At 34.6% G+C, this 24099-nt stretch overlaps 1 protein-coding gene across 9 annotated transcripts in view; it reads left to right on the top strand.

Annotated features, from left to right (window-relative positions):
• LRBA (LPS responsive beige-like anchor protein) overlaps nt 1-24099 on the top strand; it is a 751293-nt gene that overhangs the window by 63513 nt on the left and 663681 nt on the right. For all 9 annotated transcript variants that reach the window (XM_047416462.1, NM_001367550.1, NM_006726.5 and 6 more), the window contains exons 3-4: nt 23150-23381; nt 23599-23699. In XM_047416462.1, the coding sequence (XP_047272418.1) occupies nt 23150-23381; nt 23599-23699 (333 nt within the window). The remainder of the gene's footprint in view (nt 1-23149; nt 23382-23598; nt 23700-24099) is intronic.

Here is a 24099-nt window from a genome sequence, read left to right as displayed (position 1 = left end):
TTAATCATGTATCTTAAACATCTTTCCTTGTCCAATCATGAGTAGTTCTCAGTGAGACCAGTACTGCTCCTTGGAGGTGTTTAGGAAATTTGGTGAGTATTTTTGGTTCTTAGAATGATTTGGAGTTGGTAGTGGACACTTAGTGTTCTGGACTAAGGCTGCTAAGGACCTTGCAATGGAAGATACATTTGCAAACAGCAAGGTGTGATATCCTCTGTTCTCCTGAACTTATTAGACTTTAATTTCATTTTCCATATCAGCATAAACTTTTTGAATACTTTTAACATATGCTGAGTTTTTTTAGAAACATAAGTAAGCTTTAAAGAAGAAAAAAATCATACTTTGTTTTATTTGGAACTTTATGAAGAATTAAAAATCACGTCTAATTGGAATATAATAGTATTTGAATATCTAATACACACCTGAATCACTGTGCCTTGTTTCTGTAACATACATTAATGTAGATTCTGTATATAGTTACCAGGACCTAACTACTTTATTATTTGGTTATTTACAAGGATTTATATATGGAAAAAATACTGAAAAGTATTTTAATTATTTTTCTTTTATTATGGTTAGAGTACTTTGTAGATTTTTGTTGTTGTTTATAGGTAGGTCTTATTATCTATTGTGTTTCCTCAAGTCTAAGATGCCAAGTTGTAAGATTTGTCATTATTTTTATGCAGCATTAGGAAAAAACCCTGCAATTGTAATTTTAGATGCCATTGATTATAAGACACATTCTGATCTCTGATCTTTTTAAAATAATTGATAAAATGGAATGTGTCACTTTTATTTCAGGTTAGTATAGGGGTGTCACAAAGAATTTTTTTTTTTTTTGTAAAAAGATGATGTTGAGTCTAACGTAGACTGTCAGTGGAGAACTATGAATGAAAATGATTTAAAAAATTGCTGTGTTATATACAACTATACGTATGTGCCATAATTCAGCTAGTTCCTTCTTTTTTTGGAATTAATCCGGGATTTTCTCATTGTAAGAGATAGAATCTTACATCAAAGTAGCTTAAGTATAAAAGGGAATGATTGGTTCATAGGACCAGGCTACATCATTGAATGAAGCTGCAAGAACCAGGGAAACCCTGGAAACAGGGAATTGATGTCACCAGAATATTCTTCTTCCATTTATGGTGCAGCTAGGCCTCCTCTGTCCACATGGCAGGGAACATATCTGCTGGAAGCCTTCAGTTTACATATTTCTCCTACTTTTGACCCAAAGACCAAGAGCCCTTCTTTTTCACCTTATAAATTAAAAAACAGTCTTGGTAATGATTTTGATTGGCCTGACTTAGCTCACATTCTCAGTCTTGTATTAATCACTGTGGCCAGTAGAAGGGGGAAGTATATATTTAGCCAGGCCTGACTTAAGTGACCTCTCTGTGACCTGGGTGTGAGGTACTGAGACTTTCTTGTCAGAATTCCATAAATGGAAGAGGATGGAAGGAAGAGTAAATACAATACAGACAAAAACAACATTGTCTATTACAGTGAACATTTTGGTAATTTCCAGTTTATTTCCCTATTGTTAATATAATCTCCATTTTCACATCTGATAAATCTCCCTACATAAGGATATTGGTATGAAATTATTATAAAGATCTAAAAGTACATTTTTTTTTTTTGGTGGAGAAAACCTAATATATAGATCTTTCTTTCATGTACCCTAAATTTTGGTGTTCTTCAAAGTAAGATTTGTAGAGTCTTCAAATTATGAACTATCAAATTTAAAAATGTATTTTAAAATACAGGTAGTTTGGACACATTGAGGGAATCATGACATAAAATATTTGGGGTACTGAAGTATTAAGTAATGTATGTGATGCTATAGTTTTAAACACTTATAAACATAAACTCAAATTGATTTGAATATGAAATTCATGACATTTTGCTATCTCTTTCATATCCTATGATGTTTGAGTTCAAGTAATGTAAGTTCAGTGGACTTTGACTGGTTGTCACATAGTGAGAGATTTCTGATTTTTGAAATATGTCACTGCTATAAATCACTAGTTTGCTAGATTGAACCAGCAAGCTATTAAAGAACATGACAGAATTTACTGTAGATAAATGCAAATTTAAAAAGGTTCTCTGTATGAAGGTTTAGATGATTTATTAGCCTTCAGTGCACACATGAATCTGAAGTTATGTAATGGATTTAGAAAATTTCATTTCCTGTTTGAAGGTTCAAATTTGCATATTTATTCTATAATGCAAGTATTAGATGTGAGTCAGTAGGATATATAGTTAAACTCTGTGTGATATCAATATATGCTTCATCTTTTTTGTATAGTATATGGCAAACATTTTTTCAGGTGTAGGGCAAGTAATTAAATATACTGATTTTTTTTTGGCTGGAGTAGGGAGGGAGGGATAAGTAAAGAAGCTGGGATTATGTATGTCTGTAGGTGGCTTCAGAATTTGAACTTACGAGTTTCCTTGCCGCTTAATTTGGCTCTCATTTTTCTACCAATTGAAGATTCATTTAGGTTAATATAGTTTTCTTTTCAATGGGAAATAATTGGTGGAAAATTAATCCTGTGACAATTTATACCTCACATAGAATTACTTATTTTTTAAAACTAGGTCTTCTATTTTGAGATAATTGCTGATTCACATGCAGTTGAAGACATAATGCAGAGAAATCCTTTGTACTCTTTATCCGGTTTCCCCCAATGGGAAAATCTTGCAAAACTAGAACAATATTGATATTGGTATAATCGAGGTGCAGAAAGTTTCCTCCTGTTACCCTCTTACAGCTATACCCACTTTCCTCTACCCCATCTTAACCCCTGGCAACCACCAATCTGTTCTCAATTTCTATATTTTTGTCAGTTGAAGAATCTCCAGAAGACTGTACGAACTTGAGAAAAAAACCAATTGGTTCTCTGGAGATTCTTCTAGATTGCTGTGTGTGTCAATAGTTTGTTCCTTTTTATTGTTGAATAGTATTTTATGGTATGGATGTACTACAGTTTGTTTAACCATTTAGCTGTTGAAGGACATCCGAGTGATTTCCACTTTTTGGCTATTACCAACAAAACTACTGTAAATATTTATATACAGGTTTTTGTGTGAACATAAGTTTTTATTTATTTGGGAAAAATGGCAGGAGTGCACTTGCTAGATTGAATAGTAGGTGCATATTTAGTTTTTTTTTTTTAAATAGAAATTACCAAACTTTTTCATAGTGGCTGTGTCATTTTACATTCCCACCAACAACATACGAATTATCCAGTTTCTCCACATCCTCACCAGCATTTGGTGTTGTCATTATTTTTTTAGTTGTTTTGATTGATGTATAGTGATATCCACTGTGGTCTTAATTTGCATTTCTTTAATGCCTAATGATGTTAGACTTTTTGTGTGTGTGTGTTTATGTGTCTTCTTTATGTCTTCTTTGGTGAAACGTTCTTCTGCACATTTTCTAATTGGATTTTTTTTACTCTTGACTTTTGAGAGACTATATTTTTTAGATATTATTCTTTTGTCAGATATTTGGTTTGCAGATATTTTCTCCTAGTTTGTAGCTTGCCATTTCATCCTCCTGAAAAGGTTTTTTGGTGAGCAGAATTTTTAATTTTAATAAAGCCTAATTTATCAGTTTTCCCTGTATGGATCTTGCTTTTGTGTCAAGTCTAAAAACTTCTTGCTTAACCCTAAATTCTGAAGATTTTCTCCTATGTTTTTAAAAAAGTTTTATATTTTACATTTAAATCCGTGATCAATATTGAGTTAGTTTTTGTGTAAGGTGTAATACTTAGGTAAAGAAAAGTTCATTTGTAATTGTTCCAGTACCATTTGTTTTAAAGACTCTTCTTTCTCCCTTGAATTGCTTTTTGTACTTTTGTTAAAACTGTTCAGAATATTTGTGTGGGTCTAGTTCTGGGTTCTTTATTCTGTCTCATTGATTTATGTGTCTGCCCCTCCACCAGTTCCTCACAGTGTTGATTGCTGTAGCTACATAATAAGTTTTGAAATTGGGTAGATGGATTCTTTCTACTTTATCTTTCTCTTTCAAGATTGTTTTTGGTATTCTAGTTCCTTTGCTTTTCCATATAAATCATACAATAATCTTTTCTATATCTGCAAAAGTCTTGCTGGGATTTTGATGGGAACTATGTTAGATCTATATATCAGTTTTGGAGGAATTGACAGCTGTACTATGAATGCAGTGTGCCTCTCCATTTATTTAGATCTTCTTTGATTTCTTTCATCATCATATTATTGTTTTCAGCATTCAAGTCCTGTATATATTTTGTTAGATTTACATCTAAGAACTTCATATTTTTGAGCAATTATAGATGGTATATTTTAAATGTCATTGCCCACATGTTCCTTGGTAGTATATGGAAGTATAATTGATTTTTAAATGTTTATCTGGTAACCCGTTACCTTGCTGAACTCATTATTTCTAGGAGGTTTCTGTTTTTGGAAATGTCTTTGGTGCAAATAGGGACAGCTTAATTTCTTCCTTTCTCACCTGCATACCTTTTATTTCTTCTTGCTGAATTGCCATGGCTGGAACTTTCAGCACTAATTTGAATAAAAGTAGTGAGAGTGCATGTCTTAGCCATGTTCCTGATCTTTAGGAGAGAAAATACTCGGTCTTTTATCATTGAGTATAATGTTAGTCGTAGGTTTTATGTAAATGTTGCTTATCAAGTTGAAGTTTTTTTTTGTTTCCATTTTTCTGAGTTTTTATCCTCAATAGTGTTATTGAATTTTTGTCAAATACTTTTTCTGCATCAGTTGATATGATCGTGTGATTGTCCTACCTTATCCTATTAATATGGTGGATTACATTAATTGATTTTTAAATATTAAAACAGTGTTGCATTCCTGGAATAAAATCTACTTGGCCATGGTGTAAAATTCTTATTTATTGCCGAATTCTACTTGCTAATTTTTTGTTAAGAATTTTGGTGTTTATATTCATGAGGGATATTGGTGTATAGGCTTTTTTTTTTTTTGGTACTGTCTTTGTCTGGTTTTAGTAAAATAGTAGCTTCGTAAAATGGATTGAGAAATTTAAAATTGGCATTAATTTTTTAAAAAATATTTAGAAGAATTCTCCAGAGAAACCATGTGAACTTTGAGATTTCTTTTTTGAATTTTAAAATTATGAACTTAATTTCCTTAATAATTATAGGATTATTCAAATTATTTCATATTGGGCAAGTAGTGGTAGCTTCCAGTTTTGAGGAATTGGTCCATTTCCTCTAAGTTGTCACATTATATGTTTAGAGTTGTTTGCAGTATTCCCTATTTTTTTTTTTTTTGCTGCCTCTAAGGCCTGTAGTGATAGTGTTTTCTCCCTGATACTAGTAATTTGTGTCTTATTTCTTGCTGCTTTTTAAGTCCTGCCAAGGTTTGTCAATTTTATTGATCTTTTCAAAGAACTAGCTCTTCATTGATTATTGTTTTCCTACTTTCTACTTCACTGACTTCTGCTTTTGTCTTTATTATTTCCTTCTTTCTGCTTGTTTTGGGCTTATTTTGCTTTTCTACTAGGTTCTTTAAAATGGAAACTTAGATTATTGATTTGAGACTTCTGGTTTTAGTGCTACAAATTTCCCTCTCAGGTATGGCCCACAAATTTTGATATATTATATTTTTATTTTGATTCAGTTCATCGTATTTAAAAAATTTATTTGAGACTTCCTCTTTTGACACATAAACTATTTAGGAGTGTAATAGTTTCCAAGTGTTCGCACATTTTTCTGTGATCTTTATCTTTCTGTTATTGATTCCTAGTTTGATTTCATTGTGGTCAGAGAACCCACTCCATATACTTTCAATATCTTTAAATTTGTTGAGTTTGTATTATGTCCCAGAATATAATCTCTAGTCCATAGGCCCTTGTAAACAATATTTATTGTTCTATAATTGGGTGGAGTCTTATATAAATGTCAATTAGTTCTTCTTTGTTGATAGTGTTATTGAGTTCTTTTAATCCTTTCTGATTTTCTGTTTATTTCTACCAATTATTGAGGAAGGCACAGTTACTTTTGTAAGATAAAATTAGTAGCTTTCATAATACTGTTTATTTCATAATAAATAAATATTGTAGCATTTTATTCTTATAATAAGAAATATGCCGGCTGGGCATGGTGGCTCACGCCTATAATCCCAGCACTTAGGGAGGCTGAGGTGGGTGGATCACAAGGTCAGGAGTTTGAGACCATCCTGGCTAACACGGTGAAACCCCGTCTCTACTAAAAATACAAAAATTAGCCATGCTTGGTGGCGTACACCTGTAGTCCCAGCTACTTGGGAGGCCGAGGCAGGAGAATCGCTTGAACCTGGGAGGCGGAGGTTGCAGTGAGCTGAGATTGTGCCACTGTACTCCAGCCTGGGCAACAAAGCGAGACTCCATCTAAAAAAAAAAAAAGAAATATGCCTTAATTCCTCACTTTTACCATATAAAGCACATAAGGAGATTTTTCCTCAAAAATTTGTCTGCATTTGAAAGTGAATATTCAGATACTATATCCGAATGACTTGCCTTATCTATATTACTGACATTGTCATACTGATTATATATGATGTTAATATACTTGATAATACAATTATTTATCACCTACACTTTAGGAATGTCAGAAGCAGTGCATAAGTGGGCACTTAGCTGAAACCAAGCAATATGTTTTGGCAACTACCTAGGCTGAAACTGCAGTTTCACTTATCTCTGATTTAAATATAATTGTATCTTTTAAGGAAATGTGGTCATACTGTAAATACTGTCCTGCACCTTTAAAAAAATTTAGTATTGTGTCTTGAACATCGTGGCATGCCAGCACATATTGATTTATATTCTTTTTAAAGGCTGTACAATATTCCATTACATGGCCATCAGCTGGTTATAAGTATCTCTCTATTGCTGGATATTTAGGCTATATCTAATGTTTCAGTTTCACAAATAGTGCTGCAATAGATATCTTTATATCTTATTTTCTATACGTAATTTTATAGAAGATATTTATATAGGTACTCGAATTATTTGATTCTGCCTTTTTTTCCTTGAACTCTAAATACCTTCCACATTTCAGACTGACTTGGATATTTGAGATGGAAAAAAAGAACTTTCCAGTTGTATTAGTCCATTTTCATACTGCTGTGAAGAAATAACCGAGACTGGGTAATTTATAAAGAAAGTGAGTTTTAATGGACTCACAGTTCCACATTGCTGGGGAGGCCCCACAGTCGTAGTGGAAGGCGAAGGAGGAACAAAGGCACGTCTTATATGCGGCAGGCAAGAGAGCATGTGCAGGGTAACTGCCCTTTATAAAACCATCAGATCTTGTGAGACTTATTCACTATCATGAGAACCCCCCACCCCATGATTCAGTTACCCACCACTGGGTCCTTCCCACGACATGTAGGGATTATGGGAGCTGCAATTCAAGATGAGATTTGGGTGGAGACACAGACAAACCATATCACCAGTATTCAGATGTATAGAGTCATGCCAGAGTACAAACTGTTAGCCACTCGAATTTTTTTCACTGCTTTTTCTCTTCTTAATACATAGGTATAGAGTATGATTTTAAAGCCTGGCTATATCTTTTTGTTTCATTTTTCTCATTGCCAAAACTGTCTTCTTGCCATATGAACTATTTTTTTTTTCTCATTTATACTTTCTTTTCAGTTTTGTCTGATAGACTTTGAGGAATTGGTGTTGGGTAAGCCAGTCTGCAGTAACTGTCACAAATAATTAAATACAAGTATTATGTAGTGTTGAAACCCATGTTCAGAAGTTACTTATGTTTCATGTTTACAAGAGGTAATTAAATATGATAATCCATGTAAAGTGCTTATGTAAAGTGCCTATGTAGCTGACAGCAATCACTTATTCTGTGCATTTTTATTATTAGAATATTTGAATTAAAAAATTTATGATACAGGAATAAATAGCATAATAAAGTTTTCCCCAATTACTGATTTGTAACTGTACTAGTTATGTATTGCTGTGTTACAAATTACCCCCAAACCTTACAGTGTAAAACAGTGATAAACATTTATCAGCTCAGTTTTTCTGGGTCAGGAATTTGGGAGTAGGTTGGCTAGATAGTTTTGACTCAGGGTCTGTCACGAGGTTGCATTCAAAATGTTGGCTGGAGCTGTAGTCATCTAAAGACTTAACTGGGACTAGAGGACTTGCTTTCAGGGTTACTTACATGACTGGCAAGTTGGTGCTGGCTGCTGGCTGGAGGACTGTTCCTCTCTAAGTGAGCCTCTCACTGAGCTGCTTGAATATCCTCATTTGTGGTGACTGATTTTCCTTAGAATGAATGATGTAAAGGGAGCCATGAAGCTCTAATGACCTAACTTCGTAAGTCACACATTACTTCTGTGGGCACACAGACCAGCCAAATGTGGGAGGATATCTATGTTGCTTGACTTTTGGACTGACTGGTTCAGAAAGGGATGAGGGGTTAGTGTGATTTTATTTGCTCATATTTTCTTTTTTCCTAAAGTAATCTTAATTGAAGATGTCTTTTTTGTTTACTTACTAACTTCAATAAGTCATAAAAGGAAATCTGTGAAAAAACAAACAGGTTGAGTTAAACTACTTACCTGAAAAACTTCTGAAGTGCCTACTAAATGTTTGCTTAAAACATAGTTAATTCTGTGATATTTATTCATCCAGCTGCCTATCTAAGACTTCAAGCACTTTTATTTTTATGGATTTAGGGGTCTGGGTGAAGCTTACAATAATAAGCTTCAAGAACATAAATATGTTACATCATCAAATGTTTTTTGAAAAAGCTGTTGAAGAATGCTATTTATGAAAAAATCTCTTGTTCAAACAGAAACCTGGGAGGCTGAGGCAGGAGGATTGCTTGAGCACAGAAGTTCAAGTCCAGCCTGGCCAACATAGTGAGACCCTATCTCTAAATCAAATAAAAAGGAAAAGAGGTTCCATTGTGAAATAACTTTTGGGAAGTCCATGCATTGGTTGTATATCTTCCTTTCAAGATGTCTACTGCACAGTTGCATATTAAAGCTCTGGTAATTCTATCATATAAACATCTCTTTACCATTGTTTAATTCATTATTTCTTAGACTTATTTGATCATGGAACCTTTTTTCTTAACACTTTTGTAGACATACCATTATTCTGTGAAAATTTCTAACTCTTATGAAGGGTACAATAAACAATGAGAGGAGATTTCGACTATTTTGTAGTATGTTTGGGGATTTAAATAAATATAAAGATGATACTTCTAATTTATTTTCAGTAACATATACTTTGACTAATTTTTGTATAGATAGTAAAGTTCACAAATTTTTCAAATACTTAGCTCACTATTTAAAGAAAAAAAAATCTAACTTAAATAATAGATTATTAGTGAAGGTGTAAGGAAACATGAGACTATGAGTCAGATAGTCTGATTTGTAGTCTTGGCTATGAATGGACACATTTTTTTTTTGTTCCTTTATCAGCTAGATGTGATAATTGACTAATCTGTATGACTTACAGGGTTCTTGTAAGGATTAGTTATGATAGTAGAAATGGAAATCTTATATGATTGTGAGTTTGTTGATAATATTGCTGAAACTGCTAGGGCTTCTGTGCATTCTAAGAAATAGTGAAAGACCCAGAATATAGTAAGTAGAAGGAGAACAAAAACTTCAAAGGGAATATTTTCAGTTCAGCATATTAAATGACTATATTGTATTGGTAATATGATGTGTATCATTCTAGTTTACTGTCGGCTGGAGAGGTCAAAATGGTTCTCAGAGAGATATTTCTTGAGCTGGGCCTTAAGAAAACGTTAAGGTATAGTTCTTTAAAAGAAGCAAGAAAGAGGAAAGGCAATTGTAGAGAATACCAAATTTAACCTAATTTTCTGAAATGAGAAATTTCTTATACGAGACTAAATGTTCTGTGATTCCTGGGACATGGACATAGTTTTTTACAATTATGATCTTAGAGAAGGGACAGGGGAAAACCAGAGTGAGCTGAAATTTTGTCTACCCAACCCATATTGTTGTATTCGGTGAAAACATTTTAGAATTCAAATTGGGTCCTAAAACAGCAGATTTGATTTCTAGTACCTGATAATTAGGAAATATTTTGGACTCATATTTGTGTGAAGTTCTTTGGGTGGGATATGTTGAAAATTTATATTTGTTTCTAGTGACATTCTACATTTACACTTAACTGTAAATCATATTAAACTTACTCTTTTTCTTTTATATAGTATCGAACTCATAATTTTCTTTACCTGCAAGAAAAACACTTTACTGTCTTTACCTACAGAGATTTAGAATCCCAGTAGAGACAAATATTACTAAGAATTTTTTTTTTTTTTTTGAGACAGAGTCTTGCCCAGGCTGGAGTGCAATGGCTTGATTTCTGCTCACTGCAACCTCCGCCTCCCAGGCTCAAGTGATTCTCCTGCCTCAGTTTCTGAAGTAGCTGGGATTACAGGTGCCTGCCACCACACCTGGCTAATTTTTGTATTTTTATTAGAGACGGGGTTCCCCCATGTTGGCCAGGCTGGTCTTGAACTTCTGACCTCAGGTGATCCACCTGCCTCTGCCTCCCAAAGTGCTGGGATTACAGACATGAGCCATTGTAGCCAGACACTATATAAGAAATGTTTGTTCCGAAAGAAAATATGATATTTCCAAAAAAAGTCTGGATTGTATTACCACGATATCTGTAATGTTAAATTTTGTCTAAGAATAGCTTGGCAGCTGGGTGCAGTGAAACATTTCACAATAAAAAATATTTTTTAAGGCCAGGTGCGGTGGCTCACGCCTGTAATCCCAGCATTTTGGGAGGCCAAGGTGGGTGGATCACAAGGTCAGGAGTTTGAGACCAGCCTGGCCAAAATGGTGAAACCCTGTCTCTACTAAAAATACAAAAATTAGCTGGGCGTGTTGGTGGGCGCCTGTAATCCCAGCTACTCGGGAGGCTGAGGCAGGAGAATCGCTTGAACCCAGGAGGTGGAGGTTGCAGTAAGCCGATGCTGCTGAACTCCAGCCTGGGCAGCAGAGTGAGACTCCATCTCAAAATATATATATATATTTTTAAGTCATTCCATGCTGAAGACATCCCTAGGGCAGGTAGCAGAATACCTAATTCAACCTAGAGAGGCACAGGCTGCACGAGAGTCTCTCAGATAAAGCCCCATTGAAAATAAATTTACAATCTAAAATTTAAAAACCCGTTAAAAAAGCAGCACAGCATGAGGAGTCAGTAGATACACTGAAAGCAAGATTAGATCTTCAAGACTTTCAAACTATAAAATTTAGAAAATTATAATAAATTATGAAATAGAGGCCCTTTCATGTCAAAAAGTCATGAAAGAAAGAAAACAAAAAGAAGGAAAACAAAAAAGGCACTTAAAAGATTATGTAGGAAAGAGAGAAGATTACTAAGCAGATTTGAAAAATAACAACAAATAGAACTTTTAAATAAAAAGACATAGAAATTAACTCAACAGACAGATTGAAAAGTAGATTAGAAAGAATTGAATAAAGAATGTGGTAACTGAAACACTGGGGAAATTTCCAAAAGATAGCAGAGAGAGGCAAGGAGATAGCAAATACAAAATAAGTTGTATTTTAAAAATGTATGTGTAAAATATATAAAAGTACTTAAAAGTATTAAAAAGTACTTAAAAAGATATGTGTAAAGTATATAAAAGTACTTAAAAACCATTAAAATGTACCTGCATATATCCAATACCAGGTTAACAATAGAACAATATTTTTACTTGGAATCTCTTTTTCTTTGCTAAAACAATTATCTTTATTCTAACTTTGTTTTGTTTTGTTTTTTTGAGAAAGCATCTTGCCCTGTCACCCAGACTGGGGTGCTGTGGCATGATCATAGCTCACTGCAGCTTTGAACTCCTGGGCTCAGGCAGTCCTCTTGCCTCAGCTTCCTGAGTAGCTTGGACTATTGGCATGTGCCACCTGCCAGGCTATTTTTTTTTTTTTTTAAGAGACCAGGTCTTGCTATGTTGCCCAGCCTGGTCTTGAACTCCTGGGCTCAAGCAGTCCTCCTGCCTCAGCCTCCCAAAGTACTGAGATTACAGGCATAAGCCACTATGCCCAGCTCTTTTGCTAACTTTGATGTGAGTCATTCCTTTGTTTGTTTTTTTTTTTAAGTTTATTATCTACGTATATATTCCTCAGCAATATATTGTTCTTTTTGGAAAAACTGAGTACCAATCACAAACCTATTTTTTGACATTGAAGTTTTTATTTTTATGGATTTAGGGGTATAAGTTCAGTGTGTTACCTTGATATATTGAGTTATGGTGAAGTCTGGCCTGTTAGTGTACCCATCACCTGAATAGTGCACATTGTACCCAATAGGTGATATTTCACCCTCACCTCCTTTCCATTATTTGGAGTCTCCAGTGTCTATTATTTCACTCTGTATGTCTGTGTGTATCCATTCCGCAAACCTCTTTCTCTAAGGAGAGTACGGTGTTGTAGGAAGGTCTGGGTGAAGATAAGCTGAACAGAGTCTCTGGGTCGTGGTTTGGCTTTTCTAAGAGTTCTTGACAATGCTTACTGGGGAATTTAGTGGGTAACATCAAAAATAAACCTTGGGAGATGTTGGGATGTATTAGTTTGTTAGGGCTGTGTAATAAAGTACTAGAAATTAGGTTGCTGAAACAATGGAAATTTATTCCCTCAGTTCTGTGGGCTAGAAGTCTAAGATAAGTGTGTTGGCATGGTTGGTTCTGAGAATTGTGAGAATCTGTTTCATGTTTCTTTCCTGACTTCTGGTGATTTGCTGGCAATCTTTGACATTCTTTGGCATATAGAAGTATCACTGTAATCTCTATCTTCATTTTCACATGATATTTTCTCTGTGTACATGTGTCGAGCACAAATTTTCCCTCTTTATAAGGGTAACAGTCATATTGGATTAAGACCCACCCTAATGACCTCATCTTAACTAATTACATCTGTAGCAATCCTATTTCCAAATAAGATCACATTTTGAAGCACTGGAGGTTAAGAATTGAACATATGTCCTCTTGGAGAACACAATTCAACCTGTAATGGGGCATCTGGCAAAGTGTCATAGTGGCACAGTAGTGTAGAGCATATATGAAGCTATCCAGTAAGAATATAGTCAGGGAATAGGCTGTTCTGTGGTTTCTCAACTTACCAGGGCACATAACCAACTATCAAAAGTAGGTCAAAAAAGACACTTTTGGTGAACTAACACCTGCTATGGTATAAGAATGGGGAATAAGGATACATCATTTGAGATAGTTATAGATAATATATATTTTTTAATTTCTGAGAAAATGCAGTGAATAGCATCTATATTAGTCAGAATATAGGCTTTTAACTGATAGAACAGAGAGGCCCAAATTAACAGTGGTTTCTGCAAAACAGAAATGTATTTGTCCTTCAGGTGAAAGTCTGGGTAGCGGGCTAGTGTGGCAGTTCTATGATTGCCAGGATCCATAGATCGATTTGCTCTTTTATCTTCAACATAAGACACCTTCAATTCCAGGATGGCTACTGTAGCTCTTGCCACTATTCTGCATCTTAAGCAGTAGGAAGGAGCGTAGCTGGAAAAAGGGGTCAGGTTTCTTTCTTTAAAGAATAATACCTAGAGGTTGCACGTATTTACTGCCTGTTGGTCAGAACTTGGTCACATGGCTGATCAGGAATGCTTTTCATTCAAGAAAAGCTGGAGAGTGAGATCTTTTTCCTGGGCTCTGTGTGCCAAACTAGAAACTCTTTATTATTATGGAAGAAGGAAATATAACCTGGGAGTCAGTGCAGTCTGTGTCACAGCTTTGTAATTTTCCCTCAACTTCTCCTTATTAGTAAGTTTCCAGTGGCTGTAAACATATACAAGGTAACATTCACTTAGGAAAGGATTCCTGGAGAAAAATTGGATATCTTGAGGTTGACACTTTTAAAACCTGAATATGTTTCTGAAGGATGCAGATAAATAAAAGAAGCTTACTCTTAGTTAATTTTATAAATAAATAGGTTCAGAGAAAAAAGCAATTTTGACATTTTTAGACAGGTGTTAACTACACCTGTCATAATAGATAGGTCACAAGAAAGTATCTAGTTAGGGTCAGAAGCTGTGATTACACCCTGTCCTTTTTTTTTTTTTTTTTAAACTATACCATACTCCTGCCCCACCTTTGAGGAAAAATTTAGCAAGTTTCCAGTGAGTTGTCCAGGGAGAACAGAGCTTTACTTTGAAGTATTTGAATTTTCTGTGAGTCACACAGTATTCCAGTTGTATTAATCTTTTGAAGAGAAGATAATTATTTTTGATCTCCATGTTTGGTCTTTAGATTTTCCGAATATACAGGTAATTTAGATTAGTGACTAATGTCAGCTTAAAGTATTTTATTAGTATCACTATTGAGAAGAAAAATAATCATGCTCAATTAAAGTCCTCATACAAAACTTATAAAGGTTTATTTGAATTCTTCGAATAAGTTGCTTTAAAATTTCTATAACCTTATGCATTAAAGTATAACCTATAGAAAGCATGTTATGCCACCCTGAAGGCTGCTATAAAAATTGTTTATGAAGTTCAGGCCAAGACTAAAATATGTTGAAATGGAGAGTTTTGAAAAATGTTCTATATAGCAAAGGAGACCAAATCATGCTAAAATGTAGAAAAAGACTATACATCAGTTTCCATGCTACATTATTCAAAAAAATACAACCATAAAAAAGGTAATAAGATTACATTTTCACATTTCATGGCTAGTAAAGTGCATTAGGCTGCTCAGATATTCATAACTTACTGTGACATTTGGGAAGATTACATTTTGTAGTGCAGAGCCATTACTACAGCTCAGATAATAACTAGCCAATGCCTGTACCTGGATTATGATCCCTGTCATTGGAAACAAATTTGTGTTTTGAAGGTTGATCAGCTTCAAATAACTATTAGAAAGGGTTAACATGACATACTGTAGACCCTGTGCATGTTTTTTAGGTATAATAGATATGCATACATATAGTATATCAAATATGCCACACATTTGTATGTACAAATTTCTGCCATCAATTTCTCCTTGAAAGGCATATTTTATAGTATTTAAAGCAATGGAGGAATATTTAAAACACCTGTCTGGATATTGCTCTCACCATTATAATCTCAGTTTAAAAGCTGGTGAAATATTTGGGGCTTTTTTTGGAAATTACTTTCAAAAATCTATAGCTTCTTGAAAGGGTGGTTACTTATAGGAATGATTGATGTAAGTAATATTAAGATGAAGGTAAGGTCTCTTATGTTAGTTGTAACGAGGTTTTTGACCAATTTAGATCGCATGGAGGATATGTAATTGTTAGAAGAAAATTTCACACTATTAAAACTCTCTCCAGACATTATCTTCTTGGCAGTAAATTGTTTCAGATTTATTGGTTGGTTTCCCTTATATGAAATGATGTACAATTGTATGTGGGTGTTGTAAGAAGTACTTTATTGTATTCAGTGGACAAGGTTTAGTTTCTGTCTTCTAGAAAATACTGTTGAAGAGTTTGTCTTTTTTATTGTTGTATCTAGATGATTTTCATAAAATATTTTCTCTTTGAGCTTTCCTTTCACTAAAAAGTTATTTTGAAGTTATAATCATTATATAATTATGGAATTACTAGTTTTGTATGGCCTTAGAGATTTTTGTTTTTTTCTGCTACTTTTCTGAATCACTGCAATTCTTTTCCACAAGAAGGTTTTCTTGTGTCTGAAGATTCTGTCACTCCTTAATTTTACATTCTTCTGTGTGGATTCTTTTAAATTATCTTCCTGAGAATACTGGTGTTCTTGGACCTGGACCAGACCTTTCTACTGCTAAAATTGATTAAAAATTATCTTTACCAAATTTACAGGTTGAAGTTCATGGAATTAATTTTCTCAGTTTTGAATTTTTCCTCTTAATTTTTCTTAATCATTGGCATCTGCTGCTGATTGTTATTCCTCACATTTAATAAAAGATTGTCTTGACTTAACACAATTATATGTTTAGTTAGTATTACCATATTGCTTTCTGGAAATATTTCAACAGGAGTGTATGAAAGTATCTGTTTAATCTTGTTCTCACCTACTTTGAGCATTAATAATTTCAAACAAAGTTAAATTCATTTAGTATTTTTTTTTTGCAAGTGTCATTTGGATTTTTTTTTTGTGAATTGACTGTTCATGTCTTCCTAAACATTTTTTTCACCAAATTGAAAATACTTTATTTCTGTACCACTTTTTATTTCTACAGCTTAATGAGTTTTGTACTCTTTGAGAATTTCTTATATTTGTGGCTTCTAATTTAACTTTTGATATTTTAAGTTATCTAGAATTTATTTTGGCATATTTTGTAAGATAAGGATTCAGTCTTAATTTTTTAAAATGAAAATTTCATAGCTCCATTTAATGCTTGTGATGACACTCTAATCCTATATTGAAGTTATTTGTACCAACCTTTTATTTTAATTAGATTATTTTCTGTCTAGTACCATACAGTTTTAATAATTATGTTATACCATTTGTTTAATGATTCTAGTATTCTTTTTGTATAGAATTTCCCTTCACTTTTTTCATATATTTAATTCCCAGATAGAAATTAGAATCACTATAAGTTTCAGAAAAAAATCATATTGGAATTTTAATGGTAATGTGCTGAATTTATAGATTAATTTGTGAAAAGTTAACAACTTGAACTGATTTAATATTCCCATCCAGAAACAGGTCTGTTCATTTATCAAAAGTGGAAAAAAATTTCTTTACTTTCAAGTCTTGTGTATGTTTTAATACACTCCTAGATACTTTATACTTATAGTTGGTATCAGAAATGTTGTTTTAAAACTCTTGTATTTTCTGTTAGATATTATAGGTATTTAGGAAAACTTATGAATGTTATATATTTTATATTTATACAAAATGACATTTTGAGCTGAAGTTACTACTTGGTGTCATTCCTATATTATATATTTTCATGGAGAAAGAGATTTCCAGTTTGGAAACCAGAAGTCTAGTATTTTCTTTTCTTCTTTTTTTTTTTTTTCGTGAGACGGAGTTTTGCTTTGTTGACCAGGCTGGAGTGCAATGGGGCAATCTCGGCTCACTGCAGCTTCCACCTCCTGGGTTCAAGCGATTCTCCTGCCTCAACCTCCTGAGTAGCTGGAACCACAGACATGCACCACCACACCTGGCTAATTTTTTTTTTTTTTTTCTGAGATGGAGATTTACTCTTGTTGCCCAGGCTAGAGTGCAATGGCGCGATCTCGGCTCACCGCATCCTCCACCTCCCAGGTTCAAGCGATTCTCCTGCCTCAGCTTCCCGAGTAGCTGGGATTACAGGCATGTGTCACCATGCCCGGCTAATTTTGTATTTTTAGTAGAGACGGGGTTTCGCCGTGTTGCCCAGGCTGATCTCAAACTCCTGACCTCAGGTAATTTGCCCGCCTCGGCCTCCCAAAGTGCTGGGATTACAGGCGTGAGCCACTGTGCCCGGCCTAATTTTTGTATTTTTAACGGAGCTGGGGTTTCACCATGTTGGCCACACTGGTCTCGGAACTACTGACCTCAGGTGATCCACCCACCTTTGCCTCCCAAAGTGCTGGGATTACAGATGTGAGCCACCGCACCCAGCCATTTTCTAAATAAGCAATTAAAAAAGATTTCTGTAGGATATAAGACACAGTGTTCCTGCAAATACGGGTAGGCTATTTCTGTCTTATTGATCACTGTTCCACTATTTCCTCAGGGCCTGGCATACTGTAGGCATTCAGTAAAAGTGTGTTGAATGAGTTTATAAATTTATTATATAGTAGAGGTTTGTATTTTGTGATTGTTTTCTGCAGATGTGTTGTATCTGTTATTTTTTACTTAAGTATGTTCTATGAAGGCCAATAGCTAGCCAATGTGCCTCAATATGTAAGTATGAGATTTTTACAGCTTGAGCCCATCTTGATAGGTTTTGTATGTGTTCTGATTGCATGGTGCCTGCACTGTGCCAGTTGTTAAATATTTGAATAATGCCTCTGCAATGTCATTGTTATATTGTGCTGAATTATTTTTGACTCAGTGAGTAATTTGTTAGAAATAGGTTACTTGAGAAATCCCAAACGTTTGTATTAATACCATTTGTATTTATGATGATTTCATAAGCTCTACAGTTCACATCAGTGGTGTTTTGTGCATTTGCTTTTTTTTTTTTGAGACAGGGTCTTGCCCTGTCGCCCAGGCTGGAGTGCAGTGGCACAATCTTGGGCTGCTGCAACCTCTGCCTTTCGGACTCAAGCCATTCTCCCACCTCAGCCTCCAAGCAGCTGGGACTACAGCCACATGCCACCACACCCAGCTAATTTTTTGTTTTATTTTTGGTAGAGATGGGGTCTCGCCATGTTGGTTCAAGACCCCAGGCTGGTCTTGAACTCTCTGAGTGCAACTGATCTGCTCTCTCGGTTTCCCAAAGTGCTGGGATTACAGGCATAAGCCACCCTACCTGGCTGCATTTGCTTCTTTTTAAATTGTTTTTTTTGAAATAAGTAATATGTGTTCATGGCACAAAATTCAAATTGTTCAAAAGTGTATGTACTAAAATCTTTTTTTTGCCTTCTATGCAATAGATCTTTTCCAGAGACAATCGATATTTAGTTCATTCTTAGACATATTTAGCACATGCATAGGTCTATGTGTAAATGATTTACACTCAAATTGTAGCCTACTGTTCACACTTTTCTCCACCTTGATTTTCTCACAGTATCTTAGAGATCTTTTCATATCATGTGGAGTGGCCTCATTCTTTTCTATATGTACATCATATTTCATTGTATAGTTGTATACAACTTCATTAACTTTTTTTTTTTTTTTTTGAGACAGAGTCTTGCTCTGTTGCCCAGGTGACTCACTGCAACCTCCGCTTCCTGGGATCAAGCAATTCTTGTGCCTCAGCCTCCCAAGTAGTTGGGATTACAGGCACGTGTCACCATGCCTGGCTAATTTTTGTATTTTTAGTAGAGACGGGGTTTCACCATGTTGACCAGGCTGGTCTTGAACTCCTGACCTCAAGTGATCCACCCACCTTGGCCTCCCAGAGTGCTGGGATTACAGGAGTGATCCATCATGCCAGGCTGTCATTAACCTTTATCTTGTAATTTAAAAAGAGTCAATACAATGAAGTTCTTGTATCTAACATCATTATGTTAGATACATAAATGTGTCTATAATATACATTTCTAGTAGTTTGATTGCTGTTTCAAAAATAAAAAATTTTGATAGATATTACCAAATTGCTATTTTTTTGTTTTTCTTTTTTTTGTTTTGAGACAAGGTCTCACTCTGTCACCCAGTCTAGAGTGCAGTGATGCGATCTTGGCTAACTGCAACCTCTGCCTCGTGGGTTCAAGTGATTCTTGTGTCTCAGCCTCCCAAGTAGATGGGGCTAAAGGTGTCTGCCACCACGCCTGGCTAATTTTTGTATTTTTAGTAGAGATGGGATTTTGCTATGTTGCCTTGGCTCATCTTAAACTCCTGCGCTCAAGGGATCCACCTGCCTCGGCCTCCCAAAGTCCCGGGATTACAGGTGTGCGCCAACGTACCCAGCCCCAAATTGCTCTTAATAAGTCATATTGTACCTGTTTCCTCAACAACAGTAATGTATGACAGTACCTGTTTCCTCATGTTCTTGCACATACTATGTATTATTTTTATATGTTGTTAGAGATTTGGAATTTGTCAATCAAATATGTAAAAATGGTATATTAGTGTATTTTTAATATTCATTTTGTAAGCAAAGTTGGGTTTCATGTTTTAGTGCCACTTTTATTTACCTTTTTGTTCATTGCCTTTGCCTAAATTTTCTTTTTTTTTTTTTTAACACCCTAGTTCCCACAAGCAGATATATTTTCTTTTAAAAATTTTTTTTCAGGAAGCTATTTGTGCTTATGTAATGATATGGGTTGCAAATGATTTTTCTAAGTGTTTAATTTACTTTTTGATTTTTTTTTGCATATAGAGTTTCTGATTATTATGTAGTTAAATATGTCAATATGAAGTCCAGAAATCTTAAAAACTCTTAGTTAGAAAAGCTTTTACCACTTGAAGTGATAAAATGTTTTTTGTATCATTTCATTCAGTGCTTTTATTTAATTAATTTTTATTTTTAGAGACATGTCCTGCTCTGTCACCCAGGCTAGGGCTCAGTGGCATGATCATAGCTCACTGTAGCCTTGAAGTCCTGCACTCACATGACTCTCCCGCCTTGGTCTCCCAGAAGTGCTGGGATTACAGGCATGAGCCACCACGCCTAACCCATTTAGTGCTTTTATAAGTTTTATTTTAGACTCATTTTATGACTTCAGTTTTACATTTAAATCTTAGACTCATTTGGAAATTTTTTTATGGTATGAGGGATTGATTGATGATTTTTTTTCCCCCAGATATTTGAATATAGCTATCCCTAAACTTATTTTTTTTTTAGACAGGATCTTGCACTGTCACCCAGGCTGGAGTGCAGTGGTGTGATCTCACTTTAGTCTTGAACTCCTGGGCTCAAGCAATCTTCCCACCTCAGCCTCCTGAGTACTAGGGCTGCATGTACCCACCACCATACCTGGGTAATTTTTTTTTTTTTTTTTTGAATATGGAGACAGAGTCTGGCTGTGTTGCCAGACTGGTCTCAAACTCCAGGCCTCAAGTGATCCTCCTGTCTTAGCCTCCCAAAGTTTTGGGATTATAGGTGTGAACCACCATGCCCAGCCACTAACCTTTTGATGAAATGATCTTTGTTCTATTTGCATGTCACTTTTATCATATAATAATATATAAATATAGATATGTAATTATAAAATTATAAAACTTATAATAACAATAACCACCACCGTCAGCCAAGCATTATTAATAATAAGCACCTTATTCATATACATGCCTTTTTTTAAATCTTTTTATGAGTGATATCTGTAGATTGGTTAATGGTATTGTAAATGTTAATTTCCTGGTTTAAATAACTGTACTATGATTATGTAATATATATACATTGGGGAAGCTGGATGAAGAGTATAAAGGAATTCTGTACTTTTTTTGAATGTTCGAAATTATTTCAAAATAAAAAGTTACAGACAATATTAGGAAATAATACAAACAAAACCAAAACAGCTATATTAAAGTTCTTATTTGAATTGTGTATTTTTAAAATTTACAAACAACATATTTACAGACAATATAATCTAATTCAACCAGTTCAAGTAGAATGGAATATTTCATAGTATAATAGATAGCTTATAGCGTTTATCCAGGAGGACTAGGGAACCAAGCACGTATACTTTTTAGCTACGGCCATGTAACTAGGAGAATTGACTCCATCACAAGGAGAGACTGTTTTAGCAAAATCCCAGCTGTCATCTCCTAACACTGCTTGGTAGTGATGATACAAAGCATTGTATGCTGAGATCTCTACCAGAGCTTTCTGAGAAAGATGAAATGTCTTTATCACTGTGCTTGCCAGGAGTTCTTGTCTCTCTGCATGCAGGTACAGATCCTCACATTGTTCATTTCCATTTTTTTCAGTCTCATGCCTGTGTATATTTTTGTCAGAACCTGGGATACATGTTGTTGATCCTGCTGAATGGAATTTTAATTTATTTCCTAGTTTTGAACCTTCCTTGCTTTCCTGGACTAAACTCCACTTGGTCATGTCTGTTATTCTTTATAAGAGCCATTGGATTTATTTTTATTTTTATTTTTTTTTGAGATGGAGTCTTGGTCTGTTGCCTAGGCTGGAGCTCAATGGCATGATCTTGACTCATTGCAACCTCTGCCTCCCAGGTTTAAGTGATTCTCCTGCCTCAGCCTCCCAAGTAACTGGGACTACAGGCACATGCCACCATGCCTGGCTAAGTTTTTGTATTTTTTTGTTTTTTTTTTTTGAGACGGAGTCTCGCTCAGTTGCCCAGGCTACAGTGCAGTGGCACAATCTCAGCTCACTGCAATCTCTGCCACTCAGGTTCAAGTGATTCTCCTACCTCAACCTCCTGAGTAGCTGGGATTACAGGCGCATGCCACCACGCCCAGCTAATTTTTGTATTTTTAGTAGAGATGGGGTTTCACCGTGTTGGCCAGGCTGGTCTTGAACTCCTGACCTCAGGTGGTCCGCCTGCCTCGGTCTCCCAAAGTGCTGGGATTACAGGCATGAGCCACCACGCCCTGCCGGATTTGTTTTTTAAAGTTCACTTTCTTCTAATTATTGCATACCTTTTGGGTATGCAGTTTGGAAATGCATAATGAAAAATCAAGAAGTATTCAGAAAGAAGCGTAGGTGAATCATGTGTGTAGCTATTTCTGACAGAGATCTTTAAAAAATCTAGTTGATAGCATTATTGTATACCTTAAATATATGTATTTTTAAATTAAAAAAATTTAAATTTAAAAAAATTTATTTAAAAAATCTAGTTAAATGAGATAGCTCTACAAAGGTAATTCTAAAAGTATTTTAATTCCTTTACACAATTACGATTTATTTAAAATTTACGAACCTTCCCTCTGTATGGGGAGGCTCTGGGTGAGATGACAAGGCCTGTATAGCTATAGCGTTCTGATAGTAATATCAGTGAAATACATTTTCTTGGTTACTGACTTTGGATATGTGACTAATTATATGTAAGTTATACTGATTATCTACAGAGGAGAGGTAAAATGAATAGGCTTAATAAACCAAAAATTTGACTAATATAAACTCCAATGTGTGACCACTCTGAGCCTTTTTCAGCTTTTCAGTTTTACCGTGAGCTCATAAGTTGTTTGGGTAACAAAGGACCTTTAGATTATTCAGTGTAGTTCACAGATTTGATACTTCATAAATGAAAGACTGGATGAGAAGCAATTGTAGAGTTGATTTAGATCTTTATTGGTAACAGGTTAGTAGATAGCAATTTACCTAAGACATCCTATATTTGTTTTTGTTGAAAAATATTTTAATTTTTATATTCTCTTACTTTGCTGTCTAAATTTGGAGATTACTTCAGAAACTTCAGTTTTTTGAGCTGCATGTTTTTTAATGAACCTTTTGATGTGGAGGAAGAATGTGAGTAGTTATTGTTAATCTAATGTTTAGGAACATGCTATAGTGATATTGAGGATACTAATGCTTTTAATGTGTTTTTTTTTTTTCCTTGTAAGTTGGTAGGAGGACAGTTTGATCTGGAAATGAATTTCATTATCCAAGAAGGTGAGAGTATTAACTGCATGGTGGACCTACTGGAAAAATGTGACATTACGTGCCAAGCAGAAGTCTGGAGCATGTTTACAGCCATTCTGAAGAAAAGCATACGGAATCTTCAAGTCTGCACTGAAGTAGGCCTTGTTGAAAAAGTGCTTGGGAAAATTGAAAAAGTTGACAATATGATAGCAGGTATGATTTTTTCTATAGTACAATATATGCAAAGAAATAAAGTTTGATTTTCAAATACATATTTTTCTTATTCCATTTAGCAATATTTAAGAAATATTTGAGCATGTAGCATGCACCTAGAACTTTAGTGTCCAAGCCCTTAAATAAGCACAGTTTATTTTAAATATTCGAGAAATATAACTAGCTGAGTTATTTTATCGTTTTCTTTTGTTTCCAGATCTTTTGGTTGACATGTTGGGAGTGCTGGCTAGCTATAATTTGACAGTTCGCGAGCTAAAGCTTTTCTTCAGTAAACTTCAAGGAGATAAAGGACGATGGGTAAAAAAACTTAAGTACTCTTTGGTATTTTAAAGTATGCTCCTCCCAAACACATTCGTAGCTTGTAAAGTAACTGATATTATTATACATGGGATAATTGTCAAATTGAATAGATTAATTAAAATAGCATTGAGATCCCTGTGGCTACTCGTGCCATACTTGGACACTAAGAGTATGCACTAAGATAATGGTGTTTCAGGCAAACTGGTAATTTAATTCTTCTTCAAAATGTTGTTCTTTAAATGTACATTCAATATTTATTAGAAAAAAAGATAAATGTAGAGAAAGAAAAGTATTAGGTAGTAGTACCTACCTTTTCTTCTTTTTGATCTAGTTTTATCTGAGTGGCTTAAACTTGAGTAACTCACTCCGTGAACAAAACCTCTGCAGTTAATTGGAT

Source organism: Homo sapiens, chromosome 4 (assembly GCF_000001405.40).
Source record: "Homo sapiens chromosome 4, GRCh38.p14 Primary Assembly".
In the NCBI taxonomy this organism is placed as follows: Eukaryota; Metazoa; Chordata; class Mammalia; order Primates; family Hominidae; genus Homo; species Homo sapiens.
Note: the sequence above shows the minus strand (reverse complement) of the source record. Positions and strands in the feature narration are given on the sequence as shown.